This window comes from Homo sapiens, chromosome 8 (genome assembly GCF_000001405.40).
Source record: "Homo sapiens chromosome 8, GRCh38.p14 Primary Assembly".
In the NCBI taxonomy this organism is placed as follows: Eukaryota; Metazoa; Chordata; class Mammalia; order Primates; family Hominidae; genus Homo; species Homo sapiens.
In genome coordinates this window covers 30880141-30902173 of record NC_000008.11, presented here as the reverse complement: position 1 = coordinate 30902173, position 22033 = coordinate 30880141, and the positions used below count along the sequence as shown (strand labels likewise).

The 22033-nt window shown below is 37.9% G+C and overlaps 1 protein-coding gene and 1 long non-coding RNA gene across 3 annotated transcripts in view; one reads left to right on the top strand and one right to left on the bottom strand.

Annotated features, from left to right (window-relative positions):
• The window catches only part of TEX15 (testis expressed 15, meiosis and synapsis associated), an 81465-nt gene that overhangs the window by 10835 nt on the left and 48597 nt on the right, over positions 1–22033 (top strand). The window contains exons 2-3 of one of the 2 annotated variants that reach the window (NM_001350162.2): positions 3357–3432; positions 14863–15007. In NM_001350162.2, coding sequence (NP_001337091.1) covers positions 14872–15007 — 136 coding nt within the window. In that variant the 5' untranslated portion in view covers positions 3357–3432; positions 14863–14871. Of the gene's footprint in view, positions 1–3356; positions 3433–13467; positions 13539–14862; positions 15008–22033 lie in introns of those variants that run through there. The other variant, NR_146525.2, reaches the window with a different exon arrangement.
• LOC105379357 (uncharacterized) lies at positions 496–13164 on the bottom strand. Its single transcript, XR_949636.3, has 3 exons — positions 13077–13164; positions 2805–2884; positions 496–799 (listed from the first exon to the last, which is right to left on the bottom strand). It is a non-coding gene; the product is annotated as an uncharacterized LOC105379357 (long non-coding RNA).

The window sequence follows — 22033 nt, the reverse complement described above, 5'->3', positions numbered from 1 at the left end:
GAATTATCTTAGACCAGCGGATCTCAAACTTATCTTACATCAGAATCACCTGGAGAACTTGTCAAACCACAGATTTCCGGGCCCAGCCTCTAGATTCAGTAGGTCTGGGATGAAGCCAGAGGATTTGCATTGCCAACAAGTTCCCAGGTTGTGCTGATGCTGCTGATCTAGGGACCACAGTTTGAGAACCACTTCCCCTAGTTCACTAGACCAGAAATACAGGTAATTTCATGATGTACTTGTTAGGTGTCCCCCAGCTTGCGTAGCCAGTGATCTATAATTAGGAAGTATAGGACATGTCCAGGTGACAAACTTTGTTAAGTAGTAGTTTTTTCTAGCTCTATGCCTTTCCATATTCCAGAAGTTAAGATCTTCTCTTTCAACATAAGACTTTTTTCAGACTTTGAAAACTTCCTCAGACTTACTTGTCTAAATAATTGAGGTTGAGTGGAATAGATTTTTACCCAACTCTTACCACACTGATTACTTCATTTCTCTGCTTCTGTTTCTTTTTATTTCAAGCTTAATTTTTCCAATATTATTATATACTCAAACATACGTTGCTTAAGTTGATATTGTTTATCTGTTTTCTGTACTCCCATACAATTTCCTGAAGAATGGGAAATGGGCATTTCTTCTGGATTTTTTCTCACAGCTAAACACAGTTGTTACAGACTTGACTCCTTGTCACTTGGATTCTTATTATGAAACACATCCTTAGCATCTCCTTAAACAGAGATTGAAAACAGATGAAACTGAGGCCTTTTTTCCAAACTCTTCTGTAAGCCTTTTTTTCTTGCTAAACAAGTGGTTTTAAGGAGGAAAAATTGAAATGTTAATCAATACAGAATTCTTGTATTTAATAGGAACTTTAGTTAAATATTTTCAACCATATCTATGCAAACACTATATTCCTGTGCAGATTAATCTTCTGCAGATTAAATTTATAGGTACTCTACTAGATAGCTTCTGGTAGAGAAAAAAGCTATTGAAGACCATTTTGGTTTTTCATTTTCTTTTTTTGTTTGTTTGTTTTGAGACAGGCTCTTATTCTGTCAACCAGGCTGGAGTGCAGTGGCACAAACACAGCTCATTGCAGCCTTGACTTCCTAGGCTCAAGTTATCCTCGCACCTCAGCCTCCTGAGTAGCTAGGACTACAGGCACGCCTGGCTAATTTTTTAACTTTTTGGTCCCACTATGTTGCCCGAGCTGGTCTCAAACTCCTGACCTCAAGCAAGCTTCCTGCCTTGGCCTCCCAAAGTGCTGGGATTACAGGTGTGAGCCACCATGCCCAGCCCTAGTTTTTCTTTTCATGGAATATCACCCATGAATTGTAGAAAGGTTTACCAAATCAGTACCTTCTTTGTTAAAACCTGTGGTTGGTGTGGTTCTGTAATTTCAGTGTCCTGTAGCCAACTTTTCTTTTTCCTATTGCAGGGATTTTGTATGCCACTCTTTTGCCATTCCAGAAAGTCTGGAACAGCTCTGTGCAAGTGTCTTTGTGTTGACATCCTCCCTTGAGAACTTTCATGATCAAATTAAGACAATTGGTAACATCTTCATGCATATTTCCTTTCTTATACATGACAGTTGTGTTAACTTACAAGTTTGCTTCAGATTCTTATTAATGTACTAACTTAAAAACTATCTTTCAACTTACTATAATTACAGTAGACATAGAAATGTCATCAGTCATCAGTTTTCAAATACACATATTACTCATATAATTGTTGCTAAATATTTCATGTTACTAATGATATCCTTATGTGAATGCTGGTGAGAGAGATGGATCATCACTATCACAGTACTCAGAATTTCTGGTTCCCAAATTATTTGACATTTTATTTTTATATGCCAGTCTCTCATTTTAATTACCCTGATATTGCATGGTTATATTTGTCCCTGATTATTTCTTTTTATTCTCTACGTTTACTTCTTTGGGTCTCTTAGACAATGACAATTAAAGCACTTGAGTAAAATATACACGAACTAGTAAGTCAGTAAAGGATAAGATGTTCTTTTATTTATATGATGAGTTCTAAAATATTTTCAAAGACCAATCTACAGTGTCAGCTTTAAATAGCTTTTGACCTTTTTTTGGATGCTTAACTTGGAGAAAAGAAAAAAGATCTAGAATTTGGAGTAAATCTCAAATTTTGCTAAATGTTTCACCAATAAAAGTTACCTTTTCTTGAAAATGCATAGCATTTTAAATATATTAATTAGTACCATATAGAGATATACCTTATAATCACTAGTATTATCTTGAAATCACGAAATAAGTTAAAAGTTGTCTAGCTTCACAGGAACATGAAAGCTCATTATAATAGGTCATTAGGATTTGGGCTAATTATAGTTTTCTGTTGTCTCCATGGTGCATACGGTCAGAGTTAGGGTTTAAATGCCTCTAGAAAGAAATACAAGAACGGAGTTGGGGCCAGGTGCCATGGCTTACTCTTGTAATCCCAGCACTTTGGCAGGCTGAGGCGGACAGATCACTAGAGGTCAGGAGTTCAAGACATGGTGAAACCCCATCTCTACTAGAAATACAAAAATTAGCCGGGCACGGTGGCACATGCCTGTAATCCCAGCTACTCAGGAGGCTGAAGCAGGAGAATCGCTTGAACCCAGGCAGCGGAGGTTGCAGTGAGCCGTGAGCCAAAATCATGCCACTGTACTCCAACCTGGGTGATAGAGTGAGTGAGACTGTCTCACACGCACACACAAAAAGAACGGAGTTTGAATAGTGTAGTGGTTTAGATCCATACTTAAGCATCAGGCCTGGACTTGAAAACCAACTTACCAGTTTGGTTACCTCGGATAAGTTTCTTAACCTTTCTGAGTCTGTTGTTCTCATCTGAAAATGAGAGCAACACCATCAATCTGTGAAGATAAAATGAGATACTGTATGTAAGCTACCTATACTGTGTGTAGCATGTATCATAACTGCAGTGATTGACTAAAAATCAATGTTTTGTGCTGTATGTAAAAACACTAGAGCAAGCTCATGTGCTGCGTTACAGGTGGTTTTCCCAAGTAGAGCTGCGTGAGATTGGTGAGCTGACACTGGGACTCTGGATAGCAGATGAGAATGTACTGAAGGGAAGAAAAAGAGAAAAGCTTATTGAGAAAAGAGGAGGGAAAGAAGAGGGAGGAATGGAAAGGCTTGAGAGAAGGAACTGAGATATGCAGAAAACAGACAGCTCCCTCCCCCAGAATGGAACAGGAGTGAAAGGGAGACAGAAACCAGGAGGAAAAAAATGAATAGAGAAGACAATGAAGAGATAATTATTGGGCTGGGGGAGCTTCTGATCATAATTCTCTACATGTTTCTGTTTTTATTTTTATTTTGTAGATGTTCCCTTATCAGTTTTCATGTATGGACTGAGTACTGATTATAACTGTGTAATGCTGGATGCCATTGAAGAGTGGTAAGTATTTCAAATAATGGCTTTGTTACTGCTTTATTTATACCTTGTTGATTTATTTTAACTACTTTACAATTGATTTATAAATAATTCGGCAATAAAGAAGATAGATGAAGAGTGTCTTTTATCACACATTGGAATACTTTAAAGTATGTAAATATTTATTCTTGATGATAATAGTTATTGGGTACTGTCTTAATCTACTCGGGCCACTACAACATAATATAAACTGGGTAACTCATAAACAACATAAATTTATTTTTCACAGTTCTGGAAGCAGAGAAGTCCAAGATCAAGGTGCTGGCAGATTCAGTGTCTGGGATGATGGGTGCTTTCTCATAGGTGGTGCATTTTCATTGTGTTATTGCGTGGTGGAAGGAGGTAGCTAGCTCCCCTGAGGGTCTTTAATAAGTATGCTAATCCCATTCACGAGGGGTCTGTTCTCGACTTAATCATCTCCAAAGGCCTCACCTCTTAATACCATCACTCTGATGTTTAGGTTTCAACATGTGAGTTTCACGGGGGCACGAGCATTCAGACCATAGCAGGTATTTATTTTATAAGGAAGTATACTTTGTGCTGGAGATAGAAAAATGGGTAAATTGTAGTCCAGTGGAGAATATTGTCCCGTACATAATTGACCTTAATTTAGGGTAGGTATTGACACTTTCAATAACTAATTTGAAAGTCAAGCCAATATGCAAATATCGCTTAGAACATTTGTGGTATTCAAGGTTTGGAATTACTGTTTGAACCAATACATAAGCAGGGCAAGAAAATGAGGCCCAGCTTAGTGGCTCATGCCAGTAATCCCAGCACTTGAGAGGCAGAGGCAGGAGGATTGCTTGAGGTGAGGAGTTTGAGACCAGCCTGGGCAACATAGCAAGACCTTGTCTCTCAAAAAATAAAATAAAAAATTAGTCTGGTGAGGTGGCATGTGCTTGCAATCCTAGCTACTTAGGAGGCTGAGGCAGAAGGATTGCTTGAGCCCAGGAATTCAAGGTTACAATGAACTGTAATTGTACCATTGCACTCCAGCCTGGGTGTCAGAGTGAGATCTTGACTCTTAAAAGAGAATTAGTTGCTTTTTAGACAGATTCTTAAAATTTTTATATTTTTAGTCAAAAGTGGTTTTGTCACATTTGGTTACCCACATATTAATCATATGGATTTTAAATGATTTTTGGTTGATTCTAAAGTGAAATTCACTCTCAGCAGATGGGAATTGGACCCACTATTGACATTTAAAAAGCAAAAATACCATAGTCATGGAAGGAAATACTCTAGGCAAATAAATGTTCTAAGTAATTGGAAAGGTAGAGGAGGAATTTGGACTGTTTAATGTAATGAGGCTATCCAATTTTTAAGGCATCGGCTTGCATACAGTGTACAATTTCTTGCATATGCCTATATGTGGAGCCACAGAGAAAATGTAGATAGAGCCTGAAAGTGGTAGGAAGAGGGATAGGTGTTAGGAGGAGGCAAAATATTTTACAGTTTACAATACAACTTTAAACCTTACCAAAACACAAATGAGGAAAGTAAAGCTTAGGAGCAGACATCTAGTGAGTGGCAGAATCAGGACAAGATACCTACGTCTGCCGACTTCTTGTTCAGAATATTTTATTTCATAAATCCTTTCAAAAAAATTTTTTTCAACCCGATTTTGTAAAGACAATTTGGAAGGGAAGTGAAAGGTTGGTTTGTTAAATCACAAAGGTGTGAATTTCCTAGCCAGGTTATCTTTAGCTACTTGTCACTGGTTGGCCCTGAGAATTTAGATACCCTCCCACCACCCCACATATTTTAAATGGTCACTCTGATCAGTTCTAGACTTTTTTGCATTGGGGGAAAAAATTGCTTTCAGTCTTAGAGTCTTCAAAATAAATCTGGAAGAGGCTTTGTTAGCACTTCATAATAGATTTATTACTTTTATCCAGATACTAAGATTTTATTCTCCCCAAATAAATTACTACAGTTTTACTATAAATTTTTAAGGGTTTAGAGATGTGTAGTGCATTCTAATGTATGAGGCTTTCTTTTGATACTGCATATCTTTCTGAGGAAGTGGTCAATATGGGCACTGATTCTAAGAAGCACACAGGTTCTGCTTGTCTAAATCTTTTAAACTTAAGTAAAACAAATATCAACAGAATGGGGGCATTCTTTTGGGGAGTTATGTTGACTTTTTTTTTTTTAATCGTATGGTTCTGGTAGTGAGCTGAGGTAACTACTGGAATTATTAACGTAGTTGCTATAAGCCTTTGTCTCTGGATCACACTAATGCCCTCTAAGGAAGTGGACTGAATAGATGGTTCATCTTCTCCAACAGAATTTGGTAATCTGTTTCTAAAAGACTGAGATTTGGCAGTGGCAAAGTAAACAAGATGAGTGAAAATAGATGAAAAATGGCCTACGTCCTAATAACCATTTTAAATAAAATTAAAAGCGTGATAAAACTACTGCCATGCATTCTTTGCTCTTTGGCTTCTAGTTTTCTATTCATTTGATATAAAGAGGATGGAGATAACCCAGAAACACTTTTTTTAATAACTTCTACCTCATATGTATAAGATTGAGGGGAAGTTTAAAAAAACTTTACGGGTCGTCATTGTCCTGCATTTAGGCATTCCAGATGTTCCAGTCTTCTCCCAAGTTCCAAGGTACCAATAGTCGAACTTCACATTAAAAGATTTGAGAAAAAATGAAAGAACTTCACAAGTCACTGTGATGGTACTGAACTTTCTTTAAATGTATGTGTTTGGCCAGGCATGGTAGCTCACACCTATTGTAATCTCAGCACTTTGGGAGGCCAAGGTGGATGGATCACGAGGTCAGGAGATCGAGATCATCCTGGCCAACATGGTGAAACCCCGTCTCTACTAAAATACAAAAAATTAGCCAGGTGTGGTGGCAGATGCCTGTAGTCCCAGCTACTTGGGAGGCTGAGGCAGGGGAATTGCTTGAACCTGAGAGGCAGAGGTTACAGTGAGCCGAGATCGCACCACTGCACTCCAGCCTGGGGACACAGTGAGACTCTGCTCAAAAAAAAAAAAAAAAAAAAAAAAGCATGTGTTTAAAAGGTGTTGACATGTAAACCCTTGAATAACCTATACATTTACCTAATGGAATGTCACATAATGGCTTCATAGGTGTTGAGTCTGAGCTCCGTTAAAAAAAAAAAAAGATCTAATACTTAACCAGATACTCATGCCTTAATTGGCAGAGAAAGGTCAGCAACATTCTTTAAGTCCAATAAGAGGATTATTAATAGATGGATTTTACTGATAGCCTCTTAGGGGCATCCTCTGACCCTTCAACAAAGCTTGGTTTCAAACTTCTAGTCCATGAAAAGCAATGTATTATTTAACTTTACCCCTTCAGTACCCCATCACCAATTCAGCAGTCATTTGTTGACAGTCTTTTTTTTTTTTTTTTTTTTTTTTTGAGATGGAGTCTCGCTTTGTCGCCTAGGCTGGAGTGCAGTGGTGCAATCGTGGCTCACTGTTGACAGTCATTTTGTGCAAGGTTGACATCTAAGTCATTATACTACATATTTTTTTTGGTATGGGCCTTTTCCATCTTACCATACAGATTATGCTCTTGCTGACTAAAGATCAGTTCAAACTAACCTATAGGAGATCTTCTAAAAATCCTCTGTCTTGGTGCATTCAGGCTGCTGTAACAAAATACCATAAACTGGGTAACTTATAGACAACAGAAATTTCTTTGTCACAGTTCTGGAGGCTGGGGAATCCAAGATCAAGGTGCTGGCAGATTTGGTAGCTGGTGAGGGACTGCTTCCTGGTCCACAGACAGCTGTCTTTTCGCTGCATCTTCACATGGTGGAAGCTACAAAGGAGGTCTTCACAGTCTGTTTGTAAGGGTACCTTCATGAAGGCACCACCTTTCATACCTAATCAGCTTCTGAAGGCCCCACCTCCCAATACCTTCACATTAGGCTTTTTCTTTATGTTTTTTGTTTTCTAACAGTTTGATAGTTTTAACTCTTATCTTTAATCTTTGACCCATTTGCAGTTAATTTTTTTACATGGTTTAAAGTAAGAATCCAACTTCATTCTTTTGCACATGGATATCCAGTTTTCCTGGCACTATTTGTTGCAGACTGTGCTTTCTCCCACTGAATGGTCTTGGCACCCTTGTGGAACATCATTTCACCATATATGTGAAGGCTTATCTTGGAACTCTTCTTCCTATTTTATTGGTCTTAGATGTCTGTCTTTATGCCTGTTCCAAGCTTTAAAGAATATGAGTTATGGAAATAGTGAATGAATTAATAATATATATCAATCATACTGGAAGCAGGGTATTATAAACAAACGATAACACACACAAAAATAGGAGAATTGGAGTTGAGACTTAAGATGTTGGAATTATCAAATACGGATTTTTTTTAGAGACAGAATTTTTTTTCTTGCTACATTGCTATGTTGCCCAGGCTGGAGTACAGTCATAGCTCACTACAGCTTTGAACTCATAGGCTCAAGCAGTTCTCCCACCACAGCCTGCCACGTAGCAGGAAGTACAGGTGTAAACCATCACACCCAGTTTAAATACAGTATATTTTTAAAGAAATGAGAAAGGCTTTAAAATGTGAGAAGCAGATTTTTTTAAGAACCAAATATAACCTTTATTAATGAAGATAGTAATAATTATAGTTAACTCAATGGACTAGAAGCAGATTAGACCTAGCTGAAGAGAGTCAGTGAACCAGATGTTAGATATGAAGAAACATGATATGATTTTTAGATATGAAGAAGGGTTAAGAAACATGAAGAATAAAGATAGAAATTTGAACATAGGTAAAAGAAGTTCTATACTAAGGAAATAGAATGATGTCACAACAATATTTAAAGATAAAGTTTCTGAGAATTTCACATAATTGTTGAAAGATACCAAAAGTTAGATATAAGAAGTTCATCAAATACTTAGCCTAGAACATCATGATGAAAATGCAGGACATAAGAGACAAAGATGATACTAAAAGCTGCCGGAGGAAAAGATTGCCCATAAATGAATGACAATTAAATTGGAGGTGATAACATCTTGAGAGTGCTGAGAGAAAGTAGCAGTCATTCTAGAATTTTCTACCCAGGAAAATTAAGCCTGATGGCAGCAAGTCTACTAAAGAATAGAATTTATCATATTAAATTGTAAAAAATTTAAAACATTCCCTTTAAAATCAAGGGCAAGATCAAGATACCTGTCATTATCAGTTATATTCAACATTGCACTAGGTACAAGAAATAAATAGCATAAGAATCAGATGGGAAGAAACAAAACCGTAAGTCATTGTACTGTCCATTATTCATAGAGGATATGGTGGTTGATGAAGCTAAATTATTACAATTAGTAAGAGCTTAACAAGGTTGCTGGGTAGCCAATATATAGAAATTGGTTTCAGGGAGTCATTTGCCTCGTGATTGAGTGCATTCACTCTGGTGCCACACTGCCTAGCTTTGAATTCCAGATTCTGCCCTTCCTAGCTCTGTGTCCTTGGACATATTATTTAACTTCCCTGCACTTTTGTTTTCTAATTTAAAATAAGGGTATCTCATAGGGATGTTGTGAAGATTAAATGGATCAGTATATATCTAAAGCATTTAGAAAAGTGTCTGGTACCTGGTAAGTGTTATATACGTGTTAGCCATTTTTATTATCTGTATCAACATCTTTTTTTTTTTTTTTTTTGAGGCAGAGTCTCGCTCTGTCGCCCAGGCTGGAGTGCAGTGGCACAATCTCGGCTCACTGCAAGCTCCACCTCCCGGGTTCACGCTGTTCTCCTGCCTCAGCCTCCCAAGTAGCTGGGACTACAGGCGCCTGCAACCACGCCCGGCTAATTTTTTGCATTTTTAGTAGAGACGGGGTTTTACCGTGTTAGCCAGGATGGTCTCGATCTCCTGACCTTGTGATCCGCCTGCCTCGGCCTCCCAAAGTGCTGGGATTACAGGCGTGAGCCACTGCGCCCAGCTACAACATCATTTTAAACATAGTAGTGAATACAATAAGTTTTAAAGATACCATATATAGTAACGTAAAAATTATAAAGTACCTTAGAATAAATACTTTAAAAGAAGTGTAAAAACCCTCAGGGAAAAAAATTATAAAAGTATTGAAAGACATTAATGAACTGAATACCATGTTCACAGATAGGAAAACTAATATAACAGTATAACTTATCTTAAGATCGATCACTGGGTTCAGTGAAGTTCCAGTTAAAACCTAAACAAGATTTATTGTTAGATAGGCCTAATTTAAAATGTGTATAAAAGTGCAAAGAGGCTGTGGAAGAACAAGATTTGTTTTTTTTTTCTTCTGGTTTTGCTCAAGCATGTATCAAGATTTGTTACAATATGGTGTTGATGCATGAATACAGAAAGACACCAATGAAACAGAGCCCAGAGCCCAGAATTCATACATATGTGGAAAATGGGTTTATGTCAGAGATGGCATTACAGATAAATAGGAATAAGAAAGGTTGTTTTAAAAAATGCTAGCAGTTCGATATTCACATGGAAAACTCAAACCTTTATTTTTTACCATAGACAAAAAATGAATTTGAGGCAAAGTAAAGACTTAAAGGTAAAAGGCAAAACTATGAAAGTTTTAGAAGAAAATATATGGGATATCTTTATGATCTTGGGGAGAAGTATTTCTTAAAGTTGATCAAAAGCAAAAATGAAAGCACAAAATATAAAGAAAAATATTCGTAGTTGGGACTAAAATTAAACATACCTATTTTAGAAAATGAAAATACAATTTTTAAAAGTGGGGGGAATTACTTGCAATAAATATAATTAGCAAAAAAGATAGTATCTCATATAAAGATTTCTTGCAAATACATAGAATAAACAAACTGATAGAAAATCAGGTAAAAAACTTGAATGGGTATTTCACAGATGTGGAAACATGACCAATAAATATACTTAGTACATGATCATTCTCAAAAATTGGGGGCTGGATTCAGTGGCTTATGCCTACAGGCACTTTGGGAGGCTGAGGCGGGCAGATCACTTGAGGTCAGGAAGCTGAGACCAGCCTGGCCAACATGGTGAACCTCCCTCATCTCTACAAAAATTAGCCAGGCGTGGTGGCACATGCCTGTAGTCCCAGCTACTTGGGAGGCTGAGCCAGGAGAATCGCTTGAACCCAGGAGACAGAGGTTGCAGTGTGCTGAGATCACGCCACTTCACTCCAGCCCAGGCAACAGAGCAAGACATTGTCGAAAAAAAAAAGGGGGGGTGCGGGGAGAAAATGCAAACTAACCACAATCAGTTATCATTTGCTCCTGTCAGGTTGGCAGAAAGTAAAAACTACCAACATAAGGTGTTGATGAGAATATGGAGAAACTGGAACTCCCATACACTCTTGGTGATGATGTGTAATAAAAGATTCAGAAATAGCCAAGCATGGTTGGCATGTGCCTGTAATCCTAGCTACTTAGCCATTGGGGAGGCTGAGGCATGAGGATCAAAAATCAGTGTGCAGTTAGCCAGCATCTTCCCATGACGGTGCCCTCACTCACCCCACACAGTGCAATGAGGACAAACCAGAATTCTCCAAGGCATTTATTGATCGCTTGAGCTCAGGAGTTTGAGACCAGCCTGGGCAACACTAGTGAGACCTATTCTCAAAGGAAAAAAAATGATTCAGAAATGAGACTATACAGAAATTAGTTTTTCTGTGTGAGGAATCTTCCTCATGTAGAAACAAAATTAAAAGACAAAAATATTAAAATACATATGACAGACAAAACTAATTTATTTGTATATGGAGTCCTTATAAATCATTAACTACAATACTATCTTTGTGGGAAAATATGGACAAAAAGATAAGAACAAGTGATTCACAGAAAAAATAGCTCAATGTCACTGATAATGAATTAAATGCAAACTAAAACCACAGTTCTATTTTTATTTACCAAGTTTTCAAAGGTTAGGTTTGATGAAATATTAAAAAATAAAAATATAAAGAATATTTTCTTTTAAGCAAAAATTAGTAAATAATAAAGGCTAGATACAGACAGGTGAGTTACTAAGAGACCAAGAAAATCAGGATTATGAAGTCATAGAAGTCTGGCAAGCTGTGTTATTTGAAGAACAGAGTGGTCAAGAGTTAAACAGAGAGAGGCCACGTGAGTCATGAACCGCAAATGACTGATGTGGATAATCATTGATGACTTTGAAGATTGCTATTTAGGTAGAGTAATGGAGGTAGAAATCAAAGGAGATTGAGAAGGGAGTGGGAGGTGAGCTAGACAATGGCAAATATTTGCATTTCTGAGATGAACTCAGCTGATTTATGATGTATTATCATTTTTACTTTTATTGAATTTCTACTGATTTAATTTCCTCCTAATAATAACAGGATTATTCATTGTTTTTATTTCTTCTTGAATCAATTTTGGTAGCTTTTTTCCTAAGAATTATTTTGTCTAATATCTAAATGTATTCGCTTAAAGTTGTTCATAACATACATTCTCTTAAAACCTATATAAATAGATGTTTAAATTGTTAGCAAACTCTTGTTTTTGGTTCCTTTGTTCTTTAGTTATTATTTTGAATACCTGTTAAAGTATATGGTATATACTTTATATACCATATGTACTATGAAGTACATGGTATATGTATTGCCGTGTACATTATTTCTGAATGTTTTAGAATTGATTTCTTTCTCTGTCTAGAATAGCCCAGGACTCCAGAAGACAGCCTCAGCATGAATCCTCAGAATTCAAACTTCCTGATTTTACTTATACATATATATATATATGTATATATATATATATATATGTATATAACTAATACATAAATATATATAATCATTGTAGGACTATTTCATATGATATAATTTGTAATATGTAACATATAAATATAAAGGTTATAGGTCTGTGTTGCATGAGCATAAAGAAATATATATCAAAGGTCTAATATCCCACACCAAAAAAACCCAAACAAAAAAAATATGAAGTTATCACTTTAACATGGTTGAAGTTTGGGCTGAAGTTAAAGAGACGTTATTCCTACTTAAAAGGTAATAACTGAAAAATCGCTGAGCACAACTTATTTAATGAAGGATATTGAATACCATTGTGTCCTGATTATTCATCTTTTATTAGTTGTAAACTTAGCTTTTTGTGGCAAAGTATTATCCTAAGTAAGCACTGAGGAACAGAAGTGAACTTCATAAATCTTTCCTTTGTTAGTAAATTATGCTAGAGAAACCCTATAGCTGAAATCATTGAGCTTTCTTGAATATGTAATTTTTTTTTCTTTGAGCCGGAGTCTCATACTGTTTCCCAGGCTGGAGTGCAATGGTGCGATCTCTGCTCGCTGCAACCTCCACCTCCCGGGTTCAAGTGATTCTTCTGCCTCAGCCTCCCGATTAGCTGGGATTACAGGCACACACCACCACACCCGGCTAATTGTTTGTATTTTTAGTAGAGACGGAGTTTCACTATATTGGCCAAACTGGTCTCAAACTCCTGACCTGGTGATCCACCCACCTCGGCCTCCCAAACTGAATATGTAACTTAACTGTAGTTAAAGACAGTATTGAGGATTGTGCTTTGAGGATTGTCCCAGCACTTGGCTGTTCAAGTAAAGTATATTCAACTGATTATTCTTTACCTTTATGTGCTGTTGTTACAGATCATGATTAATCGAAGATGTTTTTATAGCATAAGACATTCTAAACTATTTTCCATTCTTCCCCTTACTAAACTGCGAGGTGAACATGGCAGCCTTGACAAGTATCTCTAGAGCTGGTGCATCTTAGGAGTATTCTTGTTAGAAAGCAGTACCCCACTATTGTCTGTCATTGTGGCTGAATGGAAGAAGGGCTGGCTTTCTTCTCTTTTTTTCTAGAGGTCTTTTTCATTCCCTGATCCATGTTTGATTGGGTGATTGCAAGATCACCTTTCATAAAGAACAGGAGGGGATTAAGAGGGACATCCTTGTGAACCTTCTTAGAACCTTATCCTTTGTGATCTTTCTGTAGAATTTTAGCATCTTTTAATTTGGATTGTGATCTAATGTTGGAACTAAGCAGTTGATAGGTGTCAGGAGGGCCATCAACCATGTTACGAAATGGTACGAAAAATACCTGCTTATATATATTTCCCTGTGTGTATACTCCATAGCTTTCTTTTGAAATCCAGCTTGAGTTCTACTTAAAGAGGTTAAGAATCAATATTTGGCAGGGGATGGAGGTTGCAGGGGAGTTTGGGGAGAGAGAGAAAGGAGAGGGAAAAAGGAAGGGGAGGAATATTTTTGATACTTCTGGTATAGCAATATTTGATGTTGTCTTAAGCATTTATAGAATGATACCATGGAACAGTAGTCAATAAGCGATTGGCTGTTGTTGGCCATCAGCTGTAGGAATAGTCAGCAATAGTTAGTTTACAACTTTTTGAAGTTTCTTCTAAAGCCAGAGATCTTGATTTAAAGAGAGTATCGTTTTAGTCACAGAAATGTATAGGGAAAAAAATGCTTTTTAAAAATGGAGTATTTGGGCTGGGCATGGTGGCTCATGCCTGTAATTCCAGCACTTTGGGAGTCTGAGGCAGGAGGATCACTTGAGCCCAGGTGTTCAAAACCAGCCTGGGCAACACAGAGAGACCCTGTCTCAAAAGAAAGAAAGAAAAAAAAATGGAGTATTTGGTAAGAATTTTACCAAATGTGTATAAAAATTGTTATGGGTGTAAGTTTTTGAGCTTTTCAGGAGCAGGGAGACTTTTGGTTACCTAATAGCAGTTACATGAATTACGAGGAAAAAATGCATTAGAAACAAAAATTCATATATATATATATATATATATATATATATATATATATATGAAATATATATGTGAAATATATATGTGCGAAATATATATGTGAAATGTATGTATAAGTGAAATATATACATATGCGAAATATATATATTGAGATAGAGTCTTGCTGTGTCGCCCAGGCTGGAGTGCAGTGGAGTGATCTCAGCTCACTGCAACCTCCGCCTCCCGGGTTCAAGCTGTTCTCGTGCCTCAGCCTCCCAAGTAGCTGGAATTACAGGTATGTGCCACCACACCCAGCTAATTTTTTTGTATTTTTAGTAGAGACGGAGTTTCACCATGTTGGCCAGGCTGGTCTCAAACTCCTAGCCTCAAGTGATCTGCCCACCTCAGCCTCTCAAAGTGCTGGGATTACAGGTGTGAGTCACCATGCCCAGCTGATATTTTTCATATTATATAAAAACCAAAGTTGTAAACTCATTTTCTTTTTTGGGCAACTGGCAAATTGAGATGGAAACTTTCTGACAGTTGACTAAGAACATTTTACCATTTACTTTTGTTGAAGAACTTTTAAATGATTGTACTGCCATTGCCTTTTATGTATTTATTGACCTTTTTGCTTAATAACCTTGGGTTGATTTTAGGCCAACAAAATGGAAATGAAAGAAACTGCTAAACAGGATACACTGTGGCAAATGAGCTCAACTAGCAAACCCGTGTTGAATACTCGTGAAGTCAATCCTTTGAAGAAATTCACCATTCCTAAGATCAGGAGGACAGCTGAGAAAGGTAATATTTCTGTGGTTGGGAATTTTTTTAGTAACTATTACTGTATTTCTCTGATTCTTAGTTTATGTTCATCTTTTATTTTGACTCTATATAAAATTAGGTTAATTCAGGTCTCTAATTCCTTAAACATACATGTACTTATGTTTCCACTCAAAATAGAATAGATGCACGTTCTGCATCCTTCCCACTAAGTACACCTAAAAACCCTGGACATTTTTATGAAACAAATATGAAAAGACTTTCGAAACTGGAGAGAAGACCAACCAACTAGGGAATGTGAGACTCAGGGAATGGCATAGCAGTAAGTTCCCTCAATTTTCTTTTTGTTTCCTCCATATCTCAGACTAGATGCCCCCAACACAGAAATGCCAGCTGGCACAGACCTCCCCCAAAAGCCCCAAGAAAAACCTCTTCTTTCTTGCCAGTGAACTAAGAAAAGGGCAGCCTAGAAAGTTGGAAACCTGTTTGACATTAAATATACCCCTCCCGTTTCCCACTGGGGTGATGGCAGAGGAGGTTGAGTGGGGATCCTGGACTCTGACCCCCTACCCAGCAGGAACAAGGTACCCCTTTCCTTCCCCATGGTGCCAGTGGTGATCCACGTAGGATCACACAGCAATAATGCATTCCCTTCTGTGCCATCATCCTGCTCCTGCAATGTCAGTTGATATCTACCCTTGCTTTGTGGTGATGAGTTGTCCTTTCCACTAGGGTTAGAGTCAGTGAACAAAGTGGAGAGCCTGGACCTCCACCACATCCAGCAGTAACAAGGCCTCCTACAGTGTTGGTGGAGGATGAGTGGGGACCATGGCCTTCCAGCCCTTTGCAGTGGTAACAGGGATACTCCCCAGGGTATAAATGGAGGCCCTGTGGAAAGCCAGAACTTCACCTCTGCATAGTATTAAAGAGTCAGTGCTCCCCTTTCCCTGCCAGCCATTGTTCCTGCCAGCACAGTTTTAGTAAAGTCTTGCTGAAGTGAAAGATTAAATATAATCTAGAGTCTCATAAAAATGCCCCAGTTGACCAGGATATAGTAAAAATCGCTCATCTTAACACACACCAAGAAAATCTCAACTTGAATGAGAAAAGATAATAGATGCCAACATCAAGATTGACACAGGTGTTGGAACTATAATTAACTGAGAAACTTTTAAAGCAGCTACCATGAAGATACTTGGACAAGCAGTTACAGACACTTTTGAAACAAATGAAAAGCTAGAAAATCTCATCAAAGAAATGAAATATGTAATAACTGAATAGAAGACTTAGAACTGAAAATTTAATTAAAATAAAAACTCAGGCAAAAACTAATAGAACTGCAAGGAGAAATAGAGAAATCCACTATTACAGTTGGAAATACCCCGTTATCAGAAATGGGCGTATCCAACAGACAGAAAATCACTAAGGACATAGTTGAACTCAGCAACACCATCAGTCAACTTGATATAATAGACATCTGTAGACTATTCCATTCAACAGTAGCACGTTAGACATTCTTCTCAAGCACACACAGGACTCACCAAGATAGACCATACCTTGGCCATAATACACGTTAAGAGACTTGAAATAGTGGAAATCATACAGTCACCTCTCAGACCATGTATTAATCCATTTTCACACTACTGATAAAGACATACTCGAGACTGGGCAATTTACAAAAGAAAGAGGTTTATAATGGACTTACAGTTCCACGTGGCTGGGGAAGCCTCACAATCATGGCAGAAGGCAAGGAGAAGCAAGTCACATCTTACATGGATGGCAGCAGGCAAAGAGAGAGAGCTTATGCAGAGAAACTCCTGTTTTTAAAACCATCAGATCTCATGAGACCCATTCACTATCATGAGAATAGCACGGGAAAGACTTGCCCCCATAGTTCAGTCATCTCCCACTGGATCCCTCCCACAAAACATGGGAATTATGGGAGATACAAGGTGAGATTTGGTTGGGGACACAGAGCCAAATCATATCAGACCACAATGGAATTAATTAAGATGATCAAGTAGGGGGCCCACACTAGATATAAGTAACCCAAAGATAGCTGGAAAATACCCAAATTCTTTGAGATTAAACAGCACACTTCTAAATAATAAAAGCATCAAAGAAGAAATCTCAGGAGAAATGTTAAAATACCTTGAACTAAATGAAAAGGAAAACAAAATTTGTAGGATAAAGCAAAAGCAGTACTTAGAAAGAAATTTATAGCATTGAATGCATGTATTAGAAAACAAGAAATATCTAAAATCAGTAATTTACGTTTACACCTTAGGAAACTAGAAAAAAGAGGACAAATTAAATCCAAAATAAGCAGAAGAAAATAATAAAAATTAGAGCAGAAATGAATGAAATTAAAAACAGGAAATTAATAGAAAAAAATCAACAAAATGAAAATCTGGGTCTTTGAAAAGATCAGTAAAGTTGATAAGCCTCTAGCCAGGATAACTAAGAAAAAAAAGGGAGCACAGATTACTGATATCAGAAATCAAGAGAGGACATCACTACAGATCCTATGGGCATTAAAAGGATAAGGGATACTATGAACAACTCTGGGCCCATAAATTTGGTGACCTAGATGAAATGTACCAATTCCTTGAAAGACACTATCTGCAAAAAGTCACACAAGAAGAAATATATGATCTGAATAGGCCTAAATCTATCTATTAAACAAATTGAATCAATAACTAATAACCTTCCAATACAGCACCAGGACCAGATAGGTTCACTGGTGAGTACTAGTAGACATTTAAGGAAGAAGTTACACCAATTCTTTACAATCTCTTTCAGAAGATACAAGTAGAAGGAATATTCTCTGACTCATGCTTTTAGAGGAGCATTATTTTAATACCAAAACAAGTTAAAGAACTTAGAAGAAAACTACAGAGCCAAGAAAAGCTCAACATCACTGATCATTAGAGAAATACAAATCAAAACCACGATGAGATACCATCTCACGCAAGTCAGAATAGAAGTTATTGAAAAGTCAAGAAACAATAGATGCTGGTGAGGCCGTGGATAAATAGGAATTTTTTACACCATTGGGCACTGTGGCTCATGCCCTGAGGCTAGGAGTTTGAGACCAGCCTGTGCAACATAGCAAGGCCCTGTCTCTAGAAAAAGATTTAAAAATCAGCCTGTGTGGTACAGTAGTCCTAGCTGCTTGGGAAGCTGAGGTGGGAGGAACGCTTGATCCCAAGAATCAAGCAAGAATGTAAATGTAAATTAGTTCAACCATTGTGGAAGACAATGTGACAATTCCTCAAGGATCAGAACCAGAAATACCATTTGACCCAGCAGTCCGATTACTGGGTATATACCCAAAGGAATATAAATCATTCTGCCATAAAGACACATGCACACATATGTTTATTGCGGTAATATTTACAGTAACAGAGACATGGAACCAACCCAAATGCCCATCAGTGATATAGACTGGATTAAGAAAATGTGGTATATATACATCATGGAATATGCGGCCATAAAAAGGAATGAGATCATGTCCTTTGCAGAGACATGGATGAAGCTGGAAGCCATCATCCTCTGCAAATACAGGAACAGAAAACCAAACACCACATGTTCTCACTTATACGTGGGAGATGAACAATGAGAACACATGGACACGGGGAGGGAAACAACACACACTGGGGTCTGTTGGAGGGTGGGGGTCAAGGGAAGGGAACTTAGATGACATAGGTCAATAGGTGCAGCAAACCACCATGGCACACATACATCTATGTAACAAACCTGCATATTCTGCACATGCACCCCAGAACTTAAAGTAAAATAAAAAATTAAAAAAAAAAGAAAATACTGAGAAGGAATAGCCAGGAATCGTTATCTCCTGGATATTCAGCTGTGGTCTCTGAATCCATAGGATGAGAGTTGGTTAAATTTAAAGAGCTGCCTACACTTAAACCGTCTAAATTCAACATTATTTGGGAAGCTGAAGCAGGAGGATGGCTTAAGCCCAGAAGTTCAAGGCTGCAGTGAGCTATGATCACAGCACTGCACTCCACTCTGGATGACAGAGTGAGACCCTGTCTCTAAAAAAAAAGATAGAGAAAGAAAAATAAAATTGACATTAAAAAACAAAAAACTACAGGGCCAGTCATGGTGGCTCATACCTGTAATCCCAGCACTTTGGAAGGCCAAGGTGGGAGATTTGTTTGAGCCCAGGAGTTTGACACCAGTTTGGCAACATGGAAAAACCCCATCTCTACAAAAAATACAAGAATTATCCAGCCATGGTGACATGTGCCTGTGGTGCCAGCTACTCAGGAGGCTGAGGTGGGAGGATCACTTGAGCCTTCAGAATATATGAAGCAAAACTGATAAAACTGAAAGGAGAAATGGACAAATTTTGAATTATAGTTGGAGACTTTGTACTCTCAATTGATAAAACTAATCAGAAAATCAGGAAGAATATTGAAGAATCTAACACTGTCAATCAACAGGATCTAATTGACATTTATAGATTATTGTACCTAACAGTAGCAGAATAGACCTTTCAAGCACCTGTGGAACATGCATCAAAACAGACAACATCTTGGGCCATGAGATACATGTCAACATAGTTAAAGGAATTGAGGCTAGGCACAGTGGCTCACGTCTGTAATCCCAGCACTTTGGGAGGCTGAGGTGGGCAGATCACAAGGTCAGGAGATTGGGACCATCCTGGCTTACACGGTGAAACCCTGTCTCTACTAAAAATACAAAAAAATAGCCGGGCATGGTGGCGGCCGCCTGTAGTCCCAGCTACTTGGGAGGCTGAGGCAGGAGAATGGTGTGAGCCCAGGAGGCGGAGCTTGCAGTGAGCTGAGATTGCGCCACTACACTCCAGCCTGGGTGACAGAGCGAGACTCCGTCTCATAAATAAATAAATAAATTGAAATCATACAGAATATGTTCTCTGACAACATGCAAACAGAAAAGTAAATCTCCAAAGACACTTGGAAAGTAAGTAGGGGGCAAGGGGCTTGCTTGAGGCTAGGAATTTGAGACCAGCCTGGGAAACATAGTGAGACCTTATCTCTGCAAAAAGTAAGGTAAATAACACATTTTGAAATAGTCATGGGATTTTAAAGGAAATATATAACTAAAATGAAAATGCAACATACCCAAATTTGAGGGACATGGTTAAAGCATTGCTAACAAGGAAGTTCATAGCACTAAATGTTTACATTTGAAAAGAGGGAGTGTTTCAGATCAATAATCTTAAGCTTCCAACCTTTAAGAAACCAGAAAAAGAAAGGCTGGGTGCGGTGGCTCACGCCTGTAATCCTAGCACTTTGGGAGGCCGAGGCAGGTGGATTGCCTGAGTTCAGGAGTTTGAGACTAGCCTGGGCAACACAGTGAAACCCCTGTCTCTACTGAAATACAAAAAATTAGCCAGGCATGGCGGTATGCGCCTGTAATCCCAGCTACTCGGGAGGCTGAGACAGGAGAATCGTGTGAACCCAGGAGGTGGAGGTTGCAGTGAGCCAAGATCGCGCCATTGCACTCCAGCCTGGGTGACAGAGCAAGACTGTCTCAAAAAAAAAAAATAATAAAAAAAAATAAAAAGTCAAGATGGAAGGATAATTAATGAAACTACAACAAAAAGATGGTTGTTTGGAAAGATCAATTAAATTGACAAACCTTTATCAAGTCTGACAAAGGAAAAAGAAGCCATAAATTACCACTATCAAGAATGAAATGGGTTATCACTACTGGCCCACAGGTTGTATCAAAAGTACAAACTGTTAAACACATGTAGTTCTAAATAGATCATTTAAATAGTCTTACAACAATTAAATGTAATTCATGGTTAGAAAGGAAAGTTTAAGGCCCAGATGGTTTCACTGGAGAATTCTAAAGATTTAAAGAACAGAAACTATACAATCTCTTCCAGAAAATAGAAATTGAGAGAATAATAATATGAGATTAATATTACCATGGTTCCAAGATGAGACCAATATAATATGGAAAACACCCCACAGACCATTGTCCGTGATAATTGATGCAGATATCCTAAACAATATTAGCAAATGGAGTTCAATATTTAAAATGAATTATTGCACACAACTGAGAGGTGAATGTTCTCTTGCACCACTCTTATTCAACATAATACTGGAAGTTGTACCCAGCACAAAAAGCCAAGGAGAGGAATTAGCAGGTATTCAGATTGGAAAAGAAGAAATAAAATTATCCCTATTTGAAGAGAACATGATGGTCTGCATGGAAAATCCTAAGGAATCTTAAAAAAAAAAGAAAGGAAAACTTGGAACTAGTAAGTTCAGCAAGGTCACTGGATACGATGAAAACATAAAAAAACAATTGTTCATTTGACTTATAAACAACCCAGGGGTTAGGGGCACTGATCCCGCCCCCACCCCCTCCCCAAAACACACAGCTGAAAAATCTGCATATAACTCACTCCCCCAGAACTTAACTTTTAACACAAATAGCCTACTGTTGACCTAAAGCCTTACTGATAACATGAACAGTTGATTAACACATAATTTTATGTACGTATTATATGCTACTATGCTTTTACAGTAAGTAAGGTAGAGAAAATGTTACTAAGAAAATCATAAGGAAGAGAAAATATGTTTACTATTCCTTAAATGGAAGTGGATCACCATAAAGGTCTTCATCTTCATCATCTTCACATTGAGTAGGCTAAGGAAGAGGAGGGGTTGGTCATGCAGTCTTAAGGAGTAGCAGAGGTGGAAGAAAATCCAAGTATAAGTTGTCCCACTGTTCAAACCCATATTGTTCATGAGTCAACTATACTTTTAAATACTAGCAAAGAACACATGGAAATAAACAATTTTTAAAATACCATTTAAAATAACTTTGGGCAGCCGGTCATGGTGGCTCACACCTGTAATCCCAGCACTTTGGGAGGCTGAGGCAGGTGAATCACCTGAGGTCAGGAGTTGGAGACCAGCCTGGCCACATGGCGAAACCCCGTCTCTACTAAAAACAGAAAAAAATTAGCTAGGCGTGGTGGTGGGTGCCTATAATCCCAGCTACTTGGGAGGGTGAGTC